At 39.4% G+C, this 24894-nt stretch overlaps 1 protein-coding gene across 15 annotated transcripts in view; it reads right to left on the bottom strand.

The window, feature by feature from the left end:
- The window catches only part of ELP2 (elongator acetyltransferase complex subunit 2), a 50659-nt gene that overhangs the window by 23600 nt on the left and 2165 nt on the right, over positions 1-24894 (bottom strand). For 4 of the 15 annotated variants that reach the window (NR_137173.2, NR_040110.3, NR_136898.2 and 1 more), the window contains exons 2-13: positions 23642-23720; positions 20581-20651; positions 18532-18688; positions 18086-18163; positions 15757-15821; positions 14611-14677; positions 13992-14132; positions 11924-12019; positions 10910-11010; positions 10577-10708; positions 1959-2108; positions 304-492 (exon numbers count right to left, since the gene is read on the bottom strand). Coding sequence is in view for 11 of the 15 variants with exons in the window: in NM_018255.4 (NP_060725.1) it covers positions 304-492; positions 1959-2108; positions 10577-10708; positions 10910-11010; positions 11924-12019; positions 13992-14132; positions 14611-14677; positions 15757-15821; positions 18086-18163; positions 18532-18688; positions 20581-20651; positions 23642-23720 (1326 nt within the window). In the remaining 4 variants the exon portion in view is untranslated. Of the gene's footprint in view, positions 1-303; positions 493-1958; positions 2109-10576; positions 10709-10909; positions 11011-11923; positions 12020-13991; positions 14133-14610; positions 14678-15756; positions 15822-17344; positions 17540-18085; positions 18164-18531; positions 18689-20580; positions 20652-23641; positions 23721-24894 lie in introns of all 15 variants that reach the window. The other 11 variants (NM_001242875.3, XM_047437610.1, NM_001324466.2 and 8 more) reach the window with 10 other exon arrangements.

Here is a 24894-nt window from a genome sequence, read left to right as displayed (position 1 = left end):
ATCCATCTTTTATTTTGTTCTATTCTAGGTACCTAACACAGTGATAAAACATCATATTCATGTCTCAATTGAACACTAATGCAGCTTTGTAGTATTTTGAGCTCATTTGCTACACAAAATTTCTAGTTTTAGTATTTAAATTATTACACCCCACAGTGCACAAAAACTTTGTCACATCTTACATTAAGAAACAATATTACTTTCTTTCTACCCATATATTCCATTTAAAGCCTAAGGCAAAAATCCTTTTAAATTTAAAATGAAGTGACTAGATTTAGGTAAAATATTTAGAGAAATACTCACATTACAGAGCACATGATTCAGTGATTGTCCTGTAATGGCACAAAAATTTTCCACAAAATTCCGAGGTGCAGAAAAAACCCGAAGAACTTTTTCATCTGCTCCAGATACAAACTGAAACCGATTAATCATTGCCAAACATTTCAGGTCATACCCATGTATCTGAGGCCTTGCAATTTCATGCCAAGTCACCTGGGTAAAACGGGATAAACAAAAATGATCATTCAAAAGCTGAATTTTCAATAAGCAAATTATTAGATGAAAATTATTTACTATACAATGGAAATATAACCATGGGGCAAATATTCATCCATGAATAAACCACAACTGGGCAGTATTGGTAAAAATTACCAAGAGCCACAGAAAAATCACTCAAAATCATTTGACTTGTTTTTCAGTTGACTATAGATGCTGTTCCCAATGTTCTCAACTCTATTTATTTGAATCTACCACGTGTTACTCAAGCAGTAGTGTTAGTGGCAAACTTCACTAGCTCTTACGGACTGACCCACAGTCAGTTCCGTGAATTTCTATCAGAAACTGAAGCAGAGGATCCTGATTTTCTCTACCACATAGCAGTTCAAAGTTTACCAGTAGTGAAGTTTTACAACTGTTTGAGCTCAGGGCCAACACTTAGCAATTAACTGGTCTTATCTAATAATTACAGAAACATTAGTTCCACTGCCCCCTACCTATAGCCCTACCCTACAGCTAGATGGTAAACTCCTTGAAAACAGGATCTATCTTTTACATTTTGTTTTATTCTAGGTGCCTAACACAGTGAAAATTTCCTTAAACAAAAACTGCCCTCACTACTATTATCTAATACTATATGACTTCAGGCTTTTATTGTACACTTGATAATGCTTCCTAATGAATTAAACCTAAAATTACAAGACATAACGAAACTAGGCAACAGAGCAAGACCCTGTCTCTACAAAAAATCTAAAAATTAGCTGGGCATGGTGGCTCACACCTGTAGTCTTAGTTACTTGGGAGGCTGAGGCAGGAGGATCACTTGAGGCCAGGAGTTCAAGGCCAGCCTGAGCAACATAGCAAGATCCTGTCTCTACAAAAAACAAAAAATAAAATGTCCAACTGTTTTCCAGAGTGGCTGTATCATTCTGCATCCCCAATAGCAATGTATGAAAGTTCCAGTTGCTCTGCATCCTTACCAGCACTTGTTAATATATTTTTTACTTTAGCTATTCAAGAGGGTGTGTGGTGGTATCTCATCATGGTTCTAATTTGCATTTTCCTAATGGCTAGCGTGGCTGCCCTACTTTTCTTGTGTTCATGGATGTTTTCTTTTAAACACATTAGTAAAATAAGAAGAGGCCGGCTGCAGTGGCTCATGCCTATAACCCAGCACTTTGGGAGGCGGGGGGGGGGGAGGGGCGGTGCATCACCTGAGGTCAGGAGTTCGAGACCAGTCTGGCCAACATGGTGAAACCCCATCTCTACTAAAAATACAAAAAGAAGATGGGTGTGGTGGTGGGCACCTATAATCCCAGCTACTCGGGAGGCTGAGACAGGAGAATCGCTTGAACCTGGGTGGCGGAGGCTGCAGTGAGCTGAGATCGTGCCATTGCACTTCAGCCTGGGTGATGTGAAACTCTGTCCCAAGAAAAAATAAATAAATAAATAAGACATTTTACCTGTGATTGGTCTTTTCTCTTCCATGGAGCAAAAAGTCTAGTTGTCTGATCAGTACCAACAGTGATAATAAATTCTCCTTCTGGATCCCAGACTAGGTCTTGGACACCATCAAAGTGTCCTGAAATGACAATCTCTGGAGTCCACTCTCTCTGCAATGGAAGTGCTCATATCACATATCAAAATACTCAAAGACTACCACCAAAGTAAAGCACTCACGTCTGATAACAGAGAAGACTAAAGCCCTCTGGCAAGGTGAAAAGCTAAGTATACAAGATCGGATCACAGAATAATAGGATCCATTTTCCAATCAATCATGTAAGAGCTTAAGCATTCAAATATGTGTTGTATCCTTTAAATCAGTAACTGTGGGAAATTTCCCTCCATTCATCATTTATTGAGCAGCCAGATACTACTTAACCTTTCTGTGTCTCAATTATAGAATAAAACAGTTATAACAGCACCTACCTTCTAGGGTTATTATGAGGATTAAATGAGTTACTTTTGTAAAGTACACAGGACAATTCTAGTATACACTAGGTTCTATGTATTTATTAAACTAAATAAAAATTGTATAAAATGTAAAAATATTGTGTAAAACGAGTCAGTGGGTTCTGCATGTGGACCTGATGGCTTTATTAAGTAAAAAGAGTTACAGGTGTAGAGGACAGACAACTGAATCAAACCTAGTTGGTTCACCTACTAAGAAGCCTGCAACAACAACCATATAAACAAATAATGACAACAAAATATAGAAAATGTCATATGCCTGGTCCACAGAGCACCTTTTTGAACAACCTCAAGTGGGACTAAAACTTAACCTTTAGAGGAAAATTAAATGTGTATAAATAGCTAATAGGTCATTCAAAACCTAATCTGATGGATAAGTCTGTGACTAAACTATATTATGTCTGGCCAAAAAAAAAAAAAAAAAAGCCTGTGACAAAAAATGTTACTCCCTCTGTGAACAAAAACTGATTCTAAAGTTAGCACTAATGGGAGTTTACAAAAAGTTTTGAGCAATGGACAGCACTTTTGGACTAACAGTTTCCCACAGTAACAGTCCTGAAGGGCAGTGTTTGGCTTTTAAAAAATCGTCCTTGACTGTAACAATGTAGTGGGGGAGGCTACAAGTTGATGTGTGGGGGTAGAGGGACGTGGAAACTCTGTACCTTCAGATCAATTTTGCTGTTAACCTAAAACTGCTCTATAAAAAAAAAAAAGTCTATATAAAAAACAAGTCACTTTCAATACCATAAACCAATAAATGTTAAGTGTTTCCCTGAGTTCTGTGAGTCACCCCAAATTAACTGAACCTAAAGAGGGGGTCGAGGGAATCCTAACTTGAAGCTGGTCAGTCAGAAGTTCCTGAGGCCTGGACTGTGACTGCTGGGGTAGGGGCAGTCTTGGGGACTGAGCCCTCAACCTCTGGGATCTGACACTATCTCTGGGTAGAGAGTGTTGGAACTGAATTAGAGAACACCCAGCTGGTGTCTGCTGCTTGGTGTCGGGGAAGAAACCCCCACACATTTGCTCACAGAAGTTAATGATTGCTGTGGTGTAAGAGAGAGAGTTTTCCCTACATACTTAGTGAAGCAGGATTTGCTGGAAAGGCCCTGACTCACGGAATCGTGTGGTTTGGGAAGAAAAAGGATAAAAGGGTGGGGAATGAGGAATCTTTGATCATGTGCTCACCAATGGTATGAAGCTGCAGCTGTGTTGAGATCAGTTACTAAAGGTTAAAGTTACCAGTGGAATTTACGGATAGATCCAACTCCAAGAGTTGGTTCATTGGATACATAAGGAAATGCAAACTAAAAAGAAAAAAGTGAAATATTCAATCCAAAATTCAATCCCTTGGTCACTGTTATCTATAATGGCTAAAATGAAAGTACAAGAGGGTGCTGGATAAGGACTTGAGGCTGGACCCAGCTCAAAATGTGGGTGCGAGCTCAGGCCACCAGCCTCAAAGTCACCCACAAAGCAGAGAATTATGCAGGGACAACAGAAAATATTTCTAAGTCCTGTGGTTACCAAGAAGGTAGTCAATGTGGGGGAAGGGCAAAACCAAGTAACTACTGAAACCAAAGGGTGTAGTGCTAAGGAATTGTTCCATCTTATAGACTGGTATCATCAGTTTCCTGGGGAACCTTTGCTAAAGTGGACTATGAAAGTGATTAATTTAGGGGCAGTATCTTTGGTTTTAAATGCTACAGAGTGGAAGAGCATGTTTGGGTTGATGCAGGACCCACAGCTCACTAGTGAACAATCGTGGGTGGGGATATATAATCCAGACACACGGGAGATTATTCCTGAGGGAACGGCCAGCCAGGTGGACTGGATAAATGCCACTGTAAGGTCTGTTTACCCCCAAAAATGGGGACTGCCTAACATCATCTATAAATGCCAAGTGTAACACCCCAGATGGGGCAGCTAATATGCTTTGTATGCAAGCCTTGTGAGACTGGCTATGTGATGACAGGGATATTCACCTGCTGAATATGCCTGTTACCCAGATCACAGTAAATGCTATGGTTAAGGGGGTTCCTTCTACATGGGCACCCCATGTGATGGTACTCCTGCAGAATCAATAAACCGTTCAAGAAGCCTTATTAAACTTGCTGTCTCAGCTTCTCATGAGTCTTACAGATGCTAATAAAAACATTAGGTTGACAAGAAAACAGGAAAGGTAAAAGGGAGAGATTCAAAGGCAGGGTGGAAATCTTTAGATGGTTATTAAGAAACAAAGAATAAAATGGAAACTGATGGTGTTAAAACAAAGATCTTTGTTGTTTTTTTTTTTTTGAGATAGGGTCTCACTCTGTCACCCAGGTTAGAGTGCAGTGATGCAATCACGGCTAACTGCAGCCTCACCCTCCCTCCCAGGCCCAAGTGATCTTCCCACCTCAGCCTCTGAGTAGCTGGAAAAAAACCATTAAAAAACCAGAACTGGCTGGGCATGGTGGCTCAGGCCTGTAATCCCAGCACTTTGGGAGGCTGAGGAAGGTGGGTCACTTGCGGTCAGGAGTTGACCAGCCTGGCTAACATGGTGAAACTCCGTCTCTCCTAAAAATACAAAAAAAAAAATTAGCCGGGCATGGTGGTGGGTGCATGTAATCCCAGCTACTCAGGCGGCTGAGACAGGAGAATCAATTGAACCAGGGAGGCGAGAGTGCAGTGAGCCAAGATCATGCCATTGCACTCCAGCCTGGGCAACAAGAGCGAAACTCCACCTCAAAAAAAAAAAAAAAAAAAAAAACAGAACAGAACAGAAGATACTAAATGGATCTGGATGCCCAACCATCATTTCTTCAGCCCAAAGAATTAACCATGCCTGGCTAATTTTTGTCTTTTTTGTAGAGATGGGGTTTTGCCATGTTGCCCAGGCTTGTCTCAAACTCCTGGGCTCAAGAGATCCATCCATCCACCTCAGCTTTCCTAAGTGTTAGGATTCCAGGTGTGAGACGCCATGCCTGGCCTAAAACGAAGTAGTAATACAACACTATCAAAGGCTGGGTGGACCAAAGGGAGTCCCGCCTGGTCTCCCAACATTAAAGGATGCCAAACCAGTTTACTGCACTTCTCCCAGTTTGGAGAAATGGTAAAAGCTGGAAGGCAGGGCAGGTCAGGGTGGCTCACACCTATAATCTCAGCACTTTGGGAGGCAGAAGCGGGTAGACTGCTTGAGCCCAGGAGTCTGAGACCAGCCTGGGCAACATGGTGAAACCCCGTCTCTACAAAAAATAGAAATTAGCCGGGCATGGCGGTGCCTGCCTGTAGTCTCAGCTACTCGGGAGGTGGAGGTGGGAGGATCGATTGAGCCCAGGAGGTCAAGACTGCAGTCAGCCATGACTGCACAACTGTACCCCAGCCTGAGCAACAGAGTGAGACACTGTCTCAAAAAAAGAGAAAAAAAAAAAAAAGCTGGAAGGCAGAGACTACAGTGAAAAATCTGATCTGGCGTGGGGCAATAGGGGGGGAAACTACTGACAAAAGGGCTGGAGTCCTTTGGCTCAACCCTTGGCAGCAAGGGACCCAAAGCTTTTTGTACAAGAAAGGGTAAAATGGTCTGGGGGTGAAGTTCCTGAAAACAGAACATAAAAATCTAAGGGTTAATAGGATTATGAAAGTTGGCATATTTGAACACACTTCATATGAAGTGGTTGCATCTCTTTTACCTGATTGTATCATGGGGCTGAACATTGTGTCTGATTGGGGAATGTTTCCCCTACCTGGTACTGTAAAACAGAAAGCATGTAAATCTGACCTTCAAGCAATATTAACTGGATATGCTAAATGGGAACCAGCAGAATTGCCTGAACCACACAATGCAGGGTAGAAGCTAGAGTGCTGGGAAGGATAAATTCTCCACTTCATCACCCTCTGTGAAACAGCTCCTCGAGCTTATGGCTAAAGCTTCTGAGTAGCTCCCAGCAACAACTACTGGGGTTTGGACTAGAGTATTTCCACTTGAGGGGCATTTACTGTCTTGCTATGAAACATTAGCTGAAGCTATCCCTATGACACCTGAAACACCCATACTGTCTCCAGTGATGTCAGAGAAACATTCTAATGGGGATGGCAGTGTCCGGAAGAGTTCCATAATAAAACGGAAATGCTTTATACTACCTGGAGAATGGAAGGAGGAGATACCCTTGAGCAAGGAGTTTCTTTTCCCCTAGAACTGACACTGGAACTGTGTGAAAAACTGCTGGATTCTGCAGTGTCAGATGAACAGCTCTCAAGAGCTGCTGGGTTAGTAGATGGCAATTCCAAGGCACATAATGCCAGAAAGAACTGCTCTGTTTGTCAGCAACAGAGACTGCTGATGGCTACAGGGCAGACTCTGGTGGGAAGGCCCTGAACATGGCTGGCAAGTAAGACTGATGCTAGTAGACCTGGGGAGCTATAAATGGGTCTTGACAGGAACTGAAACTGACTGTGTAGTAGGTTTTGCTTATCAAATGAAAGATGAAAATGCTCAACATGCCATAAAAAAACCAGAACAGAAGATATTAAATAGATCTGGATGGCCGACCATCATTTCTTCAGACCAAAGATACACTGTACAGCTCATAATGTCCAACAATGGGTAGAGATATCTCCTCCTTAGAGTCACAGTTTGACAGAGAAGTAGAAATGGACGATTGAAACATCGGTTGTCTAAAATAAGGGGAGATAAAAGCATGAAGGGCTGGCTTACACACCTTCATGAGTGTGTACTCACACTCAACATGAGTGGAACTTGAGTGTCCCTGCTAGATTTTTTGTTTTTCTTGTTGATATGGGGAAGGGGGTTGGGGAGGATGCTGGTATGACTATGCGGTTCTTACCAAAGGAGGAATACACTGGTAAAATGACTATATTTTTTTTCTTTCTTCCCCAAATCGCCTCAAAAAAATTTTTTTTTTAATTTATTTTTTCTCCTCTACCTGATGCAGTGGTCCAGGACCAGGCCTGCAACAACAAGTACTGGAACAGCAGGGATGATTTCTAAGCAAAAAAAAAAAAAACAAAACAAAACAAAAAACCCTGCAACTATGTTTCTAAGTCTTGTATCAAAATTCCTAAGGCATGACGGGAATGGGTTGTACGGTTGTACCTTCACCCCATCTAGCAAAATTAGGGCTAATGGTGAAAACAGCTACATTGCCTGGTGGTAAAAATAGCTCACTAGTTCTGCACCTACCTAACCTTATCCTGTCTGAACGTAGTAGACTGAGGAGCTACTTGCTTGACTTGTATTACTGCCAGCAATCTAGATCAACACAATGGCAATTCTAATGTGCCTTTCAAAGATGAAAAGCTTTGGGTATTAATGGAGAGAAGGAGAAATAGCAGCTGAGAGTAAAGAAATGAATAAATGGGTCATTGAGGAAAATTCAATATCACATTAACAACTCATAAGAGTCTCAAGAGCAAGAGATGACATTGTCTCTTAGCTTAATTATCCCAGATGCCTGAAAAAGTGAAGTTGTATATAATATTGACTGAGGCTACTCCTTCTGAAACCTGACAAGATTGAAGGAAATCTGCAAACCTGAGTGGCCTCAGCCTGGGAGACATTCATACAGTATGATGGACTGGACTAATTATTGACTGTGTGTGCATACACATTTTTTTTTTGAGACAGGGTCTTGGTCTATCACCCAGGCTGGAATGCAGTGGTGTAACCATGGCTCACTGCAGCCTCAACTTCCCAGGCTCACACAATCCTCCTGCGTCAGCTTCCCAAGTAGCTGCGACCACAGGCGCCTGCAACGATACCCAGGGCTGCAAGCCCATGGCTAATTTTTAAAATTATTGGTACAGACAGGGTCTCCCTATGTTGCCCAGGCTGGCCTCAAGCTCCTGGGCTCAAATAATCCTCCCGCCTTGGCCTCCCAAAGTGCTGGGATTACCAGCATGAGCCATCACACCCAGCCTATATTTTTTGATGTAAAGGATCCCTGGCCTGAGGGATCCATGGCCTGAGGTGTTAAGTACACTGGTTTTCTCTGACAAAACTTCCTGGCTCAAAACTCCCATAGCCCTTGTTACAGTCTTCACCTACAAAATTGGGTATATTAGGCTTCAGGGTCAGGCCTCTAATCTTCCCCACCTGTTTGACTGTGTGTCTTAAACCCGACCAGCTGGGCGCAGTGGGTCACACCTGTAATCTCAGCACTCTGGGAGGCCGAGGTGGGCAGATCACGAGGTGCTAAAACCATGAAGCCCCGTCTCTACTAAAAATACAAAAAATTAGCCAGGTGTGGTGGCAGGCACCTGTAGTCCCAGCTACTCAGGAGGCTGAGGCAGGAGAATGGTGTGAACTCGGGAGGCGGAGCTTGCAGTGAGCCGAGATAGCGCCACTGCACTCCAGCCTGGGTGACAGAGTGAGACTCCATCTCAAAAAAAAAAAAACAAAAACCTGACCATGAGAGGGTTCCACCCTGGGGGAAAAAATGCTGACGTCATGAAGCTGCCATAAAAACCAAAGACGACACAGTTCAGGGAGCTTCGGAGCTTCCGAATAGCTAAGCACATGGAGGTTCCTGGAGGGCGGCACAGCCAGGGAGGGCATGGGAGCTTGGCACCCCTTCTCCCATACCTCACCCTACACGTCTCTGCTTCTGTTTCCTTTGCAATATACTTTATAAAAAAAAGTAAGTGTTAATAAAAAACACAACAATAATAATAAAATAAAATACACTTACATAGCATCCAGTATGTGCCAGGCCTTGTTTTGCATATCATATAAATGTTAACTCATTTAAGCCTCATAAAAACCCTGCCAGTAGACCAGGTGCGGTGGCTCACGCCTGTAATCCCAGCACTTTGGGAGGCTGAGGCGGGGGGAGGGGCAGAATCACCTGAGGTCAGGAGTTCGAGACCAGGCTGGCCAACATGGTGAAACCCCGTCTCTAATAAAAATACAAAATTAGCCAGATATGGTGGTAGGCACCTGTAATCCCAGCCACTCAGGAGGCTGAGGCAGAAGAATCACTTGAACCCGGAAGGTGGAGGTTGCAGTGAGCCGAGATCACACCACTGCACTCCAACCTGGGCCAAAAGAGCAAAACTCGGTCTCAAAACAAACAAACAAACAAACAAAAACTGTCAGTAGGTAATATTAACAATCCACATGCCAAATGCAGTGGCTCACACCTGTAATCCCAGCACTTTGGGAGACTGAGGCGGGAGGATCACTTGAAGCCAGGAGTTCAGGACTAGGCAGGGCAACAAAGCAAGACCCTGTGTCTATAAAAAAAATTTTAGATATTAGCTGGGTGTGGTGAGGTGCACCTGTAGTCCCAGCTACTCAGGAAGTTGAAGCGTGAGGATGGCTTAACCCCAGGAGAATGAGGTTGCAGTGAGCTATGATCACACCTGGATGACAGAGTAAGATCCTGTTAAAAGAAAAAAAAAAAAAAAAAAAAACTACCCATGTTTTACAAATGAGGAACCTGAGACAGGGATTAACTAATGTCCTCAAGGACACATAGCTAGTAAGTGAACCCAGGCTGTCTAGCTCCAAGGGCCTGTGCTCTTGGCCACTCCGTTCTTGCTATCTAATTTTCCCAAGCTAGAAGCAGATTAGAAGCAAATCAGATTACAAAGTAAGAGAAGGAATGCTGTAGAGAGACAGTTACATGACTAAAGGGAGAAGACTACCTCTTTTTTTTTGGAGACGGGTCTTATTCTTTCACCAAGGCTGTTCTCAAACTCCTAGCTTCAAGCAATCCTCCATCTCAGCCTTTCAAGTTGCTGAGAAGAGCCACCATGCCCAGGTGTTGAACGTCAGTCACAATAAATGACTGACATTCATTCAATAATAGGGATCTAGCAGTCCAACAAGATATCCAATTATGTTAACTTTTTAAGAAGACAGGAAAGCTACACATTTCAGAAAAATTATCATTAAAAAATTCTATAGCTTAAAGGAATACAGTGCACTTACGTAGCAAATTTACCTACATGCAAATTTCAATACCTTAACAATGTCTACAGAAAAAAGTTATGTCACTTGAACTTCAAGTGCCTCTACTATGTTTCTGTAGAGTGTTATAAGCAAAATACTATTTACCTAGAATGTACTCTATTTGATTAGAAATGCTTTATTTAAACACTCTTTTCTTACTGGGTTAACTGTATTCTGTTTCCAAAGGTGCAACGCTCCGTGGAAAGCATGAGCAATGATCATGGAGCCATCTTCATTGAACTGGCAATCATAAAATCCCAAAGTATTCCCACCTACTTCACCTACTCGAACCTGTACAATAACAGACAGAAAACAATTCTTAATCAATAGTCTATGTTTCTCACAACAGAAATCGCTGATTCCAGAGACTGTTAAATTCCCACTATTTTAATGTACACAGTGAAAATTTGCAGGTCTATCAATATAGACTTGGGATTTAAATACAGAGTTCAAAACTTAATTTTCTGTTCCTTAAATATCCAACATTTTTACCTGTTCTAGCCAAACTCCTGACTCTTCATCTGGAGCCCAGAGAATCATGGTTTTATCCATGGAAGCAGATAATAATCTCACTGGCTGCTGTAGGACACCATCTAAAAAATAAAACCTAATCCCTTTAGGTGATCAACAATCATCATGTTTGTAGATGACCAGAAAAAAACAACAAACAACATGGGTACTGCAAGGATGTTCACTGCACATTATTTGTAATAGCAAAAAATTGCAAACACCACAAATGTCTACCATTAGAAGAAGAGATAAATGGGTTGTGGTATATTCAGACAACAGACTACTACCGTGCAATAAAAACAAATAACTAGAGCTTCACAAATCAATGTGGATACAGCTCCAAAACACGGTAAGCTAAAAAGGCAAGCTGTAATATCTATAATTCCAATTTTTTTTGTTTTTTAAATTACAGCAAACATAGCATAATGTAAGGAAGAGGTGAATGGTAGTTTGCCTAAGAATTAATTATTACTGTTATTGCCTTGGGGAAGAGGCCAGGGAAGAATGTGAGGCTATGCCTTACCTAGCTATACACCCAGCACCAGCCTGAACATGCACAGAACTGTCACTCTATAAATGGAGATAAATGGCAAAAGAAAGAAGGAGTAACAGTCTTACTTTCTCATAAATAATGTATTTCAGTGGTACCAACTTTGTTATTACTGAGGGTAAAGGATCCAGTGAAGTTGGCTTGAAAGTCAGTTTTTCTTCAATCCCATAATAATCAAGTGGAAACTTTTAAGATAAAAAGTTACTGGGGGTGTGGTAGTTTCAGCATCATGGCAGGAATTACACTTTTCCCACTTAGGAGTTCAATGTTCAATGGAACTGAGTGTCCAGCAGACCAGGAATGCAGTATTATACTTTGTCAACTTGAAAATGTCATGTATTTGAGATTTCTAATCACAGTAAAAAAATTCTCCACTTGATTTGGTCAGCTTACTGTGCCATAAGATTTAACTGGAGTAAGGGATATGTGTATGGTTTTCTTCCTACCTTTGTAAAACACAGGTTGCCAGTGAACTGCATTTACCCAGTTTTCATGACCGGCTAGCACTGTCTCCAGAGTAACAGCAAATGCTATTTTAACACCTATAACAAAAGCAATGAAGGTATTATTTCCTCAAAGCTCTTCTAAAAAGAATATTTCCATAACCAAGACAGTTGGGCAATTATGTAAGAAAAAAAAATTAGGACAAAATATGATAGTTGGGATTCAAAAAAAGAACATGCATTCTAAATTTCTTCAACCTCAACTGCTGTTCAAAATTATAGGAGAAAAAGTTATACATTTTTCCTTATATTCTGTTCTAGCTGGTCATAAATAAATATGAAGGAATATCTTATATTTTTACAATTTTCTGAGACAGCTACTTTTGTTAAACCACAATGAGGAAGGAAAAACAGTCATGCCAGCCTCTTTATTATCCTCACTCATTATAAGAATATAATAGCCTAAAATACTGATATGGTTTGGCTCTGTGTCCTCACCTAAATCTCATCTTGAATTGTAATCCCCCTAAGTCCCACCTGTCAAGGGAAGGATCTGGTGGGAGATGCCCTGTGAAGAAGGTGTCTGCTTCCCCTTCTGCTATTAATTTAAGTTTCCTGAGGCCTCCTCAGCTTTGCAGAACTGTGAGTCAACTAAACCTCTTTCTCTTACAAATTACCCAGTCTTGGGAAGTTCTTTATAGAAGCGTAAGAATGGACAAATACAAATCCCATTTTTTAAAAGGATAAATGCAGAAATAAAGATAATGAAATCAGTATTTTGACCTTTCAAACAATATAATGAAAATAGAAAAAAATTCATATTTGGGTATAGCTACTCCTAATATGCTGGTTATATCATTTTTTCGTTCTCCCCATAAAACTGTTACCAAAATCTCAACTCTGATGGACTTTACCACCAAGAATAGTAACAAAAAACAGAATACACCTAGGTGAACAATGTTCACTGAACTACCTTTATAACTGTCACATCCAAAAATATCTCTTTCAAATACAACATCCCAACAGGATCTACCATCCAGGGATACTGTTCTAAGGCTAGACAATAGGAAAATCAGAATTAAATATACTACTCAAATGGTGAGATTTAGCTTGTCTTTTATCATAGGCCAATAAAATGTGTAAGTAATTCACATTATTCCTTTAGGTCTTCCTATGCTAAAACTGCAAATTTAGTAATATTTTACAAATTACTTTAATGAGAAGCACTAAACATTATCCTCAGCAATTTTAAAAATCTTACTAATATGGTTTAGAAGAAAAATATTTCACATATGAAAAATGACTCATTCTCACATAAAAATAGGAAAATACAAAGTATCAGGCCAAGCATGGTGGCCCACACCTGTAATCCCAACACTTTAGGATACCAAGGTGGAAGGATCATTTGAGGCCAGTAGTTGAAAAACAGCCTGGACAACATAGCAAGACCCTATCTTTACAGAAAATTTTAAAAATTAGCTGGGTGTGATGGCGTAGTCCTAGCTACTCAGGAAGCTAAGCCACTTGAGCCAAGGAGTTCAAGGCTGCAGTGAGCTGTGATTATGCCACTGCACTCCAACCTGGGTAAGAAGTCTCAAAAAAAAAAAAAAAAAAAAGGCCAGGCACGGTGGCTCACACCTGTAATCCCAGCACTTTGGGAGGCCGAGGCGGGCAGATCACCTGAGGTCAGGAGTTCGAGACCAGCCTGGCTAACATGGTGAAACCCCATTTCTACTAAAAATACAAAAAAGTTAGCCAGGCGTGGTGGTGCGTGCCTGTAATCCCAGCTACTTGGAAGGCTGAGGCAGGAGAATCACTTGAACCTGAGGCAGGAGAATCACTTGAACCTGGGAGACGGAGGTTGCAGTGAGCCAAGCTCACGCCACTGCACTCCAGCCGAGGTGAAGAAGCAAAACTCTGTCTCAAAAAAAAAAAGAAAGAAAAAAGAAATTTCAGGTAGGAATCTGACAATTGTGAAAAACTATCCTTCACATAGGTGGGTGGTGAAAAAAAAATCAACCAACTAGGAGACCTAAGTATCGTTATATTGGATATTTTCATTATTACTCACTTTCATTTTCTATGGTAAAAGTATTTTCTTTCAGTCTTATGTTATCGTCATCCTGAGTTTCTAAAGATGTTGACTTTATATACAGCTTCCATATTCTTATCAGGCAATCTTGTGAACAGCTTGCTAGGAAAAGATCTCTACCTAATTAAAAAATAAGTTGTATTAATTTTAAAACATTATATTGTGAAGTTTATGTATAAGACTTTTTTGTCTATAATATATATATTTCCAGATTTTCCAGAAAAAAAACAATACTTTGTTTCCTTACCCTCCAATTCATTTGATCTATATTCATTTTTAATAACATTGACAAATATGCATACAATGCTAATACATGTTTACAACATGTAGTATATAGTCTACTAAGTTCTACAAAGAACTTTTCAAGAAGGTCTGCATGTGAACAAGACAGCTAATGTCATCTGATAAATACCAATTTATTTAATCATCTACCATCCAACTAACAACAGAAGAGATAAGCATCCTCCTTTCTAATTGGGACAATAGAAAAACATAACATACAAAGAAAACTTAAAAATTAAAACAAAAAAGGCTGCTTTCTTGGAAGTAACACATATTTGTTCCCATTGTATGTGCATTAGCAAAATTTCATACTGACCAAAGGCTGCCCATTCCACTCCTCTAATCCAATCCTCATGTCCACAGAGAGAAAGCACTTTCTGAAACTAGTAAGATAAAAATCATTGGGCTTGATGTAAGAATTTAACATCTTCATGTATACCAGTGACATCATTTGGTCTCAGACAGTCCTACTGCGTTGCTCTTTTACTGAGAACACTATTTGATTAGACAAGAAAAAGCATTCCTTTGGGAATGAAAAACCCATCACGTAATATCTAAATCACTAACTGGAGCACCTCTGAGTAGATAATATAATATTTGTAATCTCAAATATTTTAAATGTTTAAGATATAAAATGATACATACTATACATATAATATAGAAAAAAAGGTGGGTTGGGCAGTGGCTCACACCTATAATCCTAATACCTTGCGAGGCTGAGGAGGTGGGACTATCACTTGAGGCCAGGAAACTGAGACCAGCCGGGGCAATAAAGTGAGACCCTGTGTCTACAAAAAATTTAAAAAGTAGTCAGGCATGGTGATACACGCCTGTGGTCTCAACTACACAGGAGGCTGAGGCAGGAGGATTGCTTCACCCCAGGAAGTCAAGACTACAGTGACGCATGTTCTCACCACTGCACCAGCCTAGGAGACAGAACAAGACTCTGTCTCAAAAAAAAAAAAAAAAAAGTTGAATAGCTGGACTTTCACAACCATTTTTAACCTTCTTATAGAATGCAAAGAAATGAGTATCCTATTAAATAAATGAGTTTAGAGTTAACCAACCCCTTTCTAAATTTCTCTCCTTTAGTTTAACCACTCAAAATCTAAGTAAAGCTCAGAAGGGCAAATAAACACTACTAGGAATGCTTCACTGTAGGTATGTTATATCTCGTTTAAATCTTTAAGAGAAAAACAACTACCACAGCATCTTCCATCTCTCCTCCCCCACCTAATGACCTGTTTCCCCCTAACAACTCTGAGCCTGATGGTCAAGGCAGCGGTTACTTGGTGTTCAGAGTAGACAACCATCTTAACAGAGGACTGTCAAAAAAAGATTCTATTGGATTATTTTGGTTTAGATTAGAACATTCCCTAAAATTCTATAATCTGGATATAGTCTGTATTGAGATATAACTAAGCAGAATATAATTCCAGCCTCTTAATATAAACATTATTACCTGATCATTTTGTTGAGCAAATATGTGAATTCTGCAATCATCATTGCCACATGCTAATATTGGTACTGGGGGAAGAAAAAACAGGCTTCACTGTGAGTTCTCTATTCCACCACGTTATGATTTATCAACTGTACTGGATTGTAAGCTCTAAGTAAAGAATCCTGACTTCAATTTCCCACACCACTACACGAATAATTGAAAATGCTCAATAAATGTCTGCAGGAATACAATGAACACTCTAAAACGTTCTATTCAGTGGTTACTTGGTAAATATAATGACTATTAAATGAGAATCCAGTCCTTCTCTCCATTCTATGACATTTATGATAGAAGTGAAAAATAAGCTCAAGAGCAACTAGAGAGCATTTTCACCATGTCAGCCCAAAGACCAAGATGAAAAGTTGTTAAGACAACTAAATAATGAACAGCTACTATGAGCCCTACCAACATGGCTAATGCACACAGATTTAAGGGTATGTTTGTTAATTTGAGGACTTTATGTTTTGTTTGAAAACCTTATGTTTTATTTTGTTTAAAACAAAATAAAAGGCTGGGTGTGGTGGCTCATGCCTGTAATCCTAGGGCGTTATCCTTTGGGAGGCTGAGGTGGGCAGATCACCTGAGGTCAGGAATTTGAGACCAGCCTGGCCAACATGACAAAACCTTGTCTCTACTAAAAATACAAAAATTATCTGGGCGTGGTGGCATATGCCTATAATCCCAGTTACTCAGGAGGCTGAAGCAGGAAAATCACTTAAACCCAGGAGGCAGAGATTGCAGTGAGCCGAGATTGCACCACTGCACTCCAGCCTGGGCGACGGAGCGAGACTCCATCCCCCAAAATAAAAATAAAAATAAATAAAAGAGCATATAATTAAGCATGTGGCTAAAAAGCTATACAAGGCAATTAGCCAGGCATGGTGGCATGTGCTTGGAGTCCCAGCTACTCAGGAGGCTGAGGTGAGCTGTGATGGCGCCACTGCACTCCAGCCTGGGCAACAGAATGAGACCCTGTGTCAAAAAAATAAAATAAAAAATTTACAAAGCTACGCAAGGGGATCCAGACGCAGTGGCTCACATCTGTGATCCCAGCACTTTGGGAGGCCGAGACAGGAGAACCACTTGAAGCCAGGAGTCCAAGACCAGCCTGGGCAACATAAACAGACCTTGTCTCTACAAGAATAAAAAAATTAGCTGGGCGTGGTGGAGCATGCTTGTAGTCCCAGCCACTTGGCTGAGGTGGGAAAATCACCTGAGCCCAGGAGTTTGAGGCTGCAGTGAGCTATGATCACCACTGCACTCCAGCCTGAGTGACAGAATGAGACTTTGTCTCTAAAAAATAAATAAATAAATTTTAAATTTTAAAATTTTAAAAAGCTATGAAAGATGTGACTGTAAAATTATTTTAATAAGATAAAAAATCATTAATAATTTGCATTACCAAAGGGCAGCCCTGATGACTCTGCTAGATAAGAGACTTTTTCTAAGGACATGCCTTGCCACCAATGTGTTTTTCAAAGATTTTCTTACTTTAGATCAACTACAGAAAAAAGAAAAATAAAAACAATAAAAACAAAACTCCAGTCACTTGGCCTGAATGCAGATGGAAGAAATGAAATTCTGTTATGATGCCAGAATGTGTGCAGCTTCTCCTTCCACAGAGCCTTGCACAGAATGGAAGCGTAACATGAAACCATAGAGTCGCAGCTCCTGCTACAGAGGGCGAGAGAGGCTGGTGGCTTCCAGGCCCTGCCTCGTTCCACCTGGCCAGTCTTCCAGGTAACTGTGGAGGCAAAGAGGCTGACTCACTCACACTGGCTATTATCTTTGTAGAAGATACTCAAAGATAAATACAGATGGGTTTCACAGCAAAAGGGAAATTTTTCTGTTTGCAGATTTTAAGTGGTCTTGGGCAAAATGTCATTATTCGGGATGTGAAGGAGCTATCATTTTGAGAGAAATGCTCATATGCCATCTTCATTCAACACTTTTTCAACTTACCCCAGACCTTCACCTTCTAAAGAATTAGATTCTTTCCTCAAATTAGACCTATATACATCCACAGTATATTTGATAACAGTATCAATCTTGGGTACACAGTAAGTCATTTAAATTATCAATGGCTATCAAAATCCTAATAAGCCCCCCTTAACTTTATGTTCTATACTCAGATCATTTGAATATTATAAGGAAAGTATGTTATTCACATCTTGTTTCATAGAAACATTCAGATACAAAATTAAGACCCAATACATTTCTTTTAGGTTCTAATCATATGACAGTATGCAAATATACTGCCCTTTTAACATATACTTAACAGGATACTCACCATCAGTATTTGGCAAAAAAGATAAGCAGAGAGCCAAAGCAAATCCATTTCCAAAGTTTAAAGTCTGAAGGCACATTACTAAGAAATAATAAAAAACACAATGAACAACTAACTACCTCAGAGCTTATCCAACTAGACAGGTTGGATAGCATCATCACAGCCCCAGGTAGCAGAAGGGAGATGAGAGAAGTCAATCCTGAGCCCCCACTGACCATGTGAAGTTAAATGGCCAAATTTTAATGATGTTACAGACAGCAAAATGACTTACATGAAAAAGTCTTGGTATAGAGAATTTTAAATAAGTGCAAAAGAAAAATTTAGATTAGAATTATAGTATTTTTAAAGTTGCTCCAAAGTTGTAAAGAATTATATATATGCTCTTCTACTCGTCATTCATTTGTTAAATATTATTTCATTTGTCTGGATTATCATGTCTCCAAACCTACCTTCTGGACCCTTTTTAGACCAGAGTCGAACAGCAGAATCTGCAGCTGCAGAAACGATCAGTGTACATAATGCAGGATCTGATGTCCTCCTCTGGTAAACAGCATGCACCGCATAAACAGGTCCTTCATGGCCTTGAAGATGCACTGCTTTTAAAAGCTGAATCAGAAAGAATGACAGAAGCATTGTGAAAAAAAGGATTTTTTTTACCTTTATTTAATTGGATAAATGTGCCAATAAAATGGCTGAGCCAGAAATAGGTCCTCTAAGTTGAAAAGAATTTTTCAAGAAGTCTGTCTGACCATGTTAACAACACACAAAATGTGCATGCCCTGTGACACAGCAATCTCATATCTAGGAATCTACTCTGAGGAGACAATAGGTATTCTGAAGAATATAGGTCAACTTTGTGGAATGTTCCTCTTTTTGGATTAGTGTGATTTTCATTATGAAGAGATTCAGAATATACATTTTGACAGCATTACTACATAAGCACATCCCATCAGGAGGCACATCATTTCAGTTTGTCCAGGTTTTAGTGAAGCTAACCTTTATATTTAGTAGAAGTATTGTCTGCCAGGTTTTTTCACCGTGATGTTAATTTTTTTTTTTTTTTTTTTTTTTTGGTGATAATATGAGTATACTTTGGGATTGAATAAACATTCTATTCCTCATCAAACTTTTACTAAGTACTTTTAGCATCCACTCATGATACTTGCCTAAATCAAGTAGGGCTGCAAAATAGAAAAATAGCAAAGAGAAGTGGGAAATCCCATTGGCTTATCAAATCTATCTGCTTGCCATCAAGATTATTCCCTCTGGCATCCCTTCTACTGATGTTTTGGGTTTATCTTTTTTTAAGTTTCAAATGTGTGACATTCCACCACTTCTTTTAAAAGGTATCTTCTATCAACTGTCTGCTGAAATAGTGGTGTTCCTTAAATGTCTCTTCAGTTGTTTTTCCAATTATAATACTTAAAACAGAATTCTGCCACTAAAGAAGATGCACATAATACTCATGTATAAGGGTCTGTACACTAACTTTCTTTAGAATCATTAGCCTTTGACTTCTTGGAAAAAACACTTAAGCCAGGTGCAGTGGTGTGTGCCAGCAGTCCCAGTTACTTGGGAGGCTGCGGTAGGAGTATCACCTGAGTCCAGGAGTCCTTGGCTATAGTGCACCATCATCTTACCTATGAACAGCCACTGCACTCCAGCCTGGGCAACACAGCCAGATCTCACCTCAAAAAGGTTTAAAAAATCCTTGGATACAATAGAATCTCTATTATGCATAATTATACACACATAACTAGAGACGGGGAATGACATTCACCAGAAAGTTAACTCTGCTCAGATTTTGCATAGGTTTTTCCTTCTTTATACTTTTTGTATTTATAACCTTTTTTTTTTTAACAAGTCTGTCATTACCCCCTGAAAAAACTAAATCTATTGAAAATACTCATTTCACATCTTTAAGCAGTTATAGCTCAATCAGAGAATTTTTAAAAACATAACATGACAGAAGTGTGGGGTAGCACTGAGAAGAGTCTTGTAAATCTATATTCGTATGCCAAAAGCATTGAAAACAGATCAGCCCAAGTAAGAATAGTTTGAAAATTATTCCAAAATGACAGGAAATTCACAGAGACAGTTAACAGCATACAAATATGGGAGTAGAAATCAGAGCAAAGGGTACAGGGCCTGTGTAGTATAAAAGATACAGCATTTGTGTTGCTGATGAGCAAGATTAACTTCATAAAAGAACAACATAGTTGAAGAAAAAAACTTAAAATAAAAGTATATATAAAAGTCATTTCTGAGACCAGCCTGGGCAACAAAGTAAGACCCCATCTCTACAAAAACAAACAAACAAACAAACAGAAATCAGCCAGGCATGGTGTCAGGCACCTGTAGTCCCAGCTACTTAGGAGGCTGAGGTGAGCCACGATCGCACCACTGCACGTCAGCCTGGGTGACAGAGTGAAACTCTACCTCTTAAAAAACAAATGAACAAAAAAAGTCATTTCTTGATTATAAACATGTCCACTCACCTGATTATCCTCTATTTCCCAGTGAATCACTTGATTATCAGATCCTCCAGAAACTAATTCAGTAGAAGGGGCTGAAAAAAATTATATCTCAGTAAATATCTTTATTCATTTTTTCTGCAATTTTTAAAAATTTCCAAGCTACACCAAAAAACAATACCCCTGTACCCTCTACCTAGATTCACAAACTGGTAACATTTTGCCATATTTGCTTAATATCTCACTCTTCCTCTATATACATACACACACACCTTTTAGGAGGCAAACTACTTAAAAATAAGTGGCAGACACTGTGATCTCTGATCCTCAAAGACCATATATCTCCTAAGGACAAAAACGTTCTCCTATATTACCTCAATACAATTATCACATTCAAAAATTCTAACATTGATAAGTATTATTATATAATATACAGTCCATATTAAAATGTCCCAATTCTCTCAGTAATGCCTTTTAAAACTTTTTTTGTTTGGGATTCAGAATCTAAGGAAATACACTCAACATTTGGATATCAAATCTTTTTAGTCTCCTTTAATGTAGAATAGTTTCCTAGTCCCCCTCATTTTTGTGACAATGACAGTACCCAGCACTTGTTCTGCAGAATGTCCCTCAATCTGTTTGATTGTTTCCTCATGATTAGATGCAGGCTAAACACTCTTGGCAGGAACATTATATGAAACATTGTAGTCAGGTGCTACTACCAAGAATATGACTTATTGTTGAAATTAGAGACACACTTCAAAATAGATCTTTTAAATACTTGCAACTTCTCAGTGATAACAAAAGAAAAAGTAGTACCAAAAAAGGGGCAAATAACCTAATTTGGGTTTGGATTTTCTTTTTATTTGTTTCAGGGAAGCAGCTGGACTAAAGAGCATTAGATTTGAACTCAGAAGGCCCAGGTTCATGTCCTAACTCTGCTGCCAGCCAACTGTGATCATGGGCTTCAACTTCATGTGTCACAGCAATTGAGCCACTTAACTAACTATATGATTTTAAGAATGTCTATACATAAAAGTAATGTTAAAATTCAGACATATTAAAAATACAAAATGATATTAAAATTTTATATATCACCGATAAAGGGTTGGAAAGGCTATCTGCATTATCTGGCAGTTCAATGAAAGGAAATCAATCATAATAGTTATAGATTACAGTAATACACAAGCAATCCATTTTATGTAACCTCACTTTTAAACGGAAGATAAAACATACAAGCCTAAATTAACATTTTATAACAAACTCCTATACTGAAAGTCAGTCTTTGATGTTATCTGGTGGCAATTAATATAATTGCAATTATGTTTTATTATCCATACTAACAGGCATCCCTTGTACCATTTAATGATTTTTATTGACCTAACATGTGACTAATCCTACAGAAGCAAATAAGTAGCTTATTAAAACTTTTTTAAACATCATTTATAAAATCATAGCAAAGTCTTAATAATTCAGAAAATTTTGCATTTGTGCCTGGCTCAAAATGCCCTCAAATGAGTGTGTAATGAAAAATAAAACTAATTCAGAACCCATATCAAAACTACAGTAGATATATTTAAGATAACTAAAGAAATATCATAGGATTTTGGGAGCACCATCTAAAGGCAACTAATATTTTAACTGAAAATTCTGGAGTCAGAATCTTAGAGATGAAGAGACCTGGAGATAATCTTGTCCAGAAATTTTCATAACTTTTGGTCTTAGAATTCCTTTACAGTCTTACAATTTTTGAGGACCCCAAAAAGCTTTTGATTATATGAACCATATGTACCAATATTAACCACATTAGAAATTAAAACTGAGAAATATGAAAAATATGTGTTTAACCATTTACTTAAAAATAACAATGGGTTCTATGATGTGTGAACATATATAACATTTTGATGGGGAAAAACCCCAATGGTTTCCAAAACAAAAACTTAATGAAAGAGAGGAACTATTTTACATTCCTACAAATCTCTTTAACATATGATTTTATTAGAATATAGCTGGATTTTCATATCTGCTTCTGTATTTAATCTGCTGCAGTATCATACATCATGTGGCTGCTGGAAAACACTGTACATTCATGACAATGAGAATGAATACTGTGAATAACTTCTTGATATCATTATGAAAATAATTTGATCTCATAGGTCTTACAAACCTCTAAGACACCCTTGATCTAGTCCAATCTCTTACTTCTCACATGTTATTAAGGTGCAAACTAGGGTCAATAGAGATGCAATGTCTTGCCTAAAAAAGCAATAGCTGGCCGGGTACAGTAGCTAATCCTGTAATCCCAGCACTTTGGGAGGCTAAAGAGGGAAGACTGCTTGAGGTTAGGAGTACGAGACAAGCCTGGGCTACAGAGCAAGGCAGGAGAATGGTGTGAACCCGGGAGGCGGAGCTCGCAGTGAGCCGAGATCTTGCCACTGCACTCCAGCCTGGGTGACAAAGCGAGACTCCATCTCAAAAAAAAAAAAAAAAAAAAAAAAAAAAAACCCCTAAAAAACTAGAAAGGCGTGGTGCCACACACTTGTGGTCCCAGCTATTGCAGAGAACTCTGATGGAGCCGCTGCATTCCAGCTTGGGCAACAAGTGAGAGATCCTGTCTCTTAAAAAAATAAACATTCTAGTCTCCAACTAGTTGGCAAAAAAAAAATAAATAAATAAATAAATAAGTAAATAAAAGAAAAAAGAATAAAAAGAAAAACCAATAGCTTGTTTATGGCAGAAACAGACCAAGAAACCAAGTCTCTAAAACACAGCCTCAGTCTAGGCCCTGCTTACAAGTTCTTTTAATAAAGGTTACAGGCAACTGGGGAGGTGGGACAGGATCCTGCCAAAGTCTAGGGCTGCACTACCCTCATCCTAAGCACTGCTGTATAATCCAAGCTTCAACTGCTACGAAGTAAAAATACAGTTCAGATATTTCACTGGGAATACCATTTTTCTTGTTTCTCCAATTGCATAACATCATATAAGGTAATGCTAAATTAAGAGAAGTGATGAGAAAAAAATGGCTAACCTTATTTTATCAGAAAACAATTGAGATCAACTTTAAAATCTGGTTAATACTTACAGCCATCCTGTTTACAAATCCACTGTATGCAATTGACTCGGGCGGTGTGACCATTCAAGTTGGTAACAACAACCCTTTTCTTTAGAGAAGAAAATACAGTTAGTAAACTGGAATTTATCCTACAGAAAAATTAATAAATAAGTAAAAACAGATTTCAGTGTTTTCGATGCTAGTAAAAAGATCAGGTTTACATCAAACAGATTTGCCTTCTTCAATCTATAAACTTTTAACCATGGCTTAAGTCATCCATTCCTCTAAATCAGTCCTGCCTTTCTTGAGACTCCACATTCCCAGCATCCTGTCCTCCCATTACACTGAGCTCTCGCGTCTGCATCCACCCACCTGCTTCTGCTCACTCTCCTACAGTGCCCACATCCTTTTCACCTAGGCAGCCTGTCCTGACACACCAAACTAGACAAGCAGCTGCTTCCTTGTGGAAGTAGGCCTACTATGCTTGCACCAATCTGAGGGTTTCTCTGACCAAAAGAAAAAAAAAAAAGCCCTCCAATAGAAGAATCTGTGATTAATGGGTACAAGCACAGTTCACTTTGCATGCCAATGGCCAATGAGACGGTGGGTTTTTCAGACCCAGTGGCACAATGTCACAAGGCCACAACTACTAAGGTCCTCACACATCAGATTCCTGCAGGGCCTATTGCCAGGTTCTCCACAGATCCTCAACAGACTGCTTTCACCAACTTCACCCCACACTTGGAGGTCTCATACTTCACACACCATTAAAGATTTTAACTGTGACTACTGCACCTTCCTCTTTACAGCCCCTTTCTCTATCTGTTGTCAACGGCAATGGCTTTGTATCTGCTTATACGCCAACTAGAATTCTCATGGCTAAGAAAAAGGAAGAGGCAAATGTGCATAAACTAATATATTTCACATATAGGTTATTTGAGGCTGGAAAACAATTTACTGTACTTCACTGTCTCTCCCACTAGACTGAGAATTCCTTGGTGGCCACGCGCGTTATCACTCATTACCTTGTGTCATCATCACTCAGCCCAGGGCTAGCCCACAGATGGTCGTCGAAGATTTGCTGAATGAGCATCATTCCCAAAACTTTATTTTAGCATTTGAAATGCTTTTATTCCCATATTTACTTAAAAGCCCAATCGAGGCCAGGTGTGGTGGCTCATGCCTTTAATCCCAGCACTTCAGGAGGCCAGGAGTTGGAGACCAGCCTGGCCAATGTGGTAAAACCTGTCTCTACTAAAAACACAAAAATTGGCCAGGTGTGG

Source organism: Homo sapiens, chromosome 18, assembly GCF_000001405.40.
Source record: "Homo sapiens chromosome 18, GRCh38.p14 Primary Assembly".
In the NCBI taxonomy this organism is placed as follows: Eukaryota; Metazoa; Chordata; class Mammalia; order Primates; family Hominidae; genus Homo; species Homo sapiens.
This window is presented reverse-complemented; position numbering and strand designations above follow the sequence as displayed.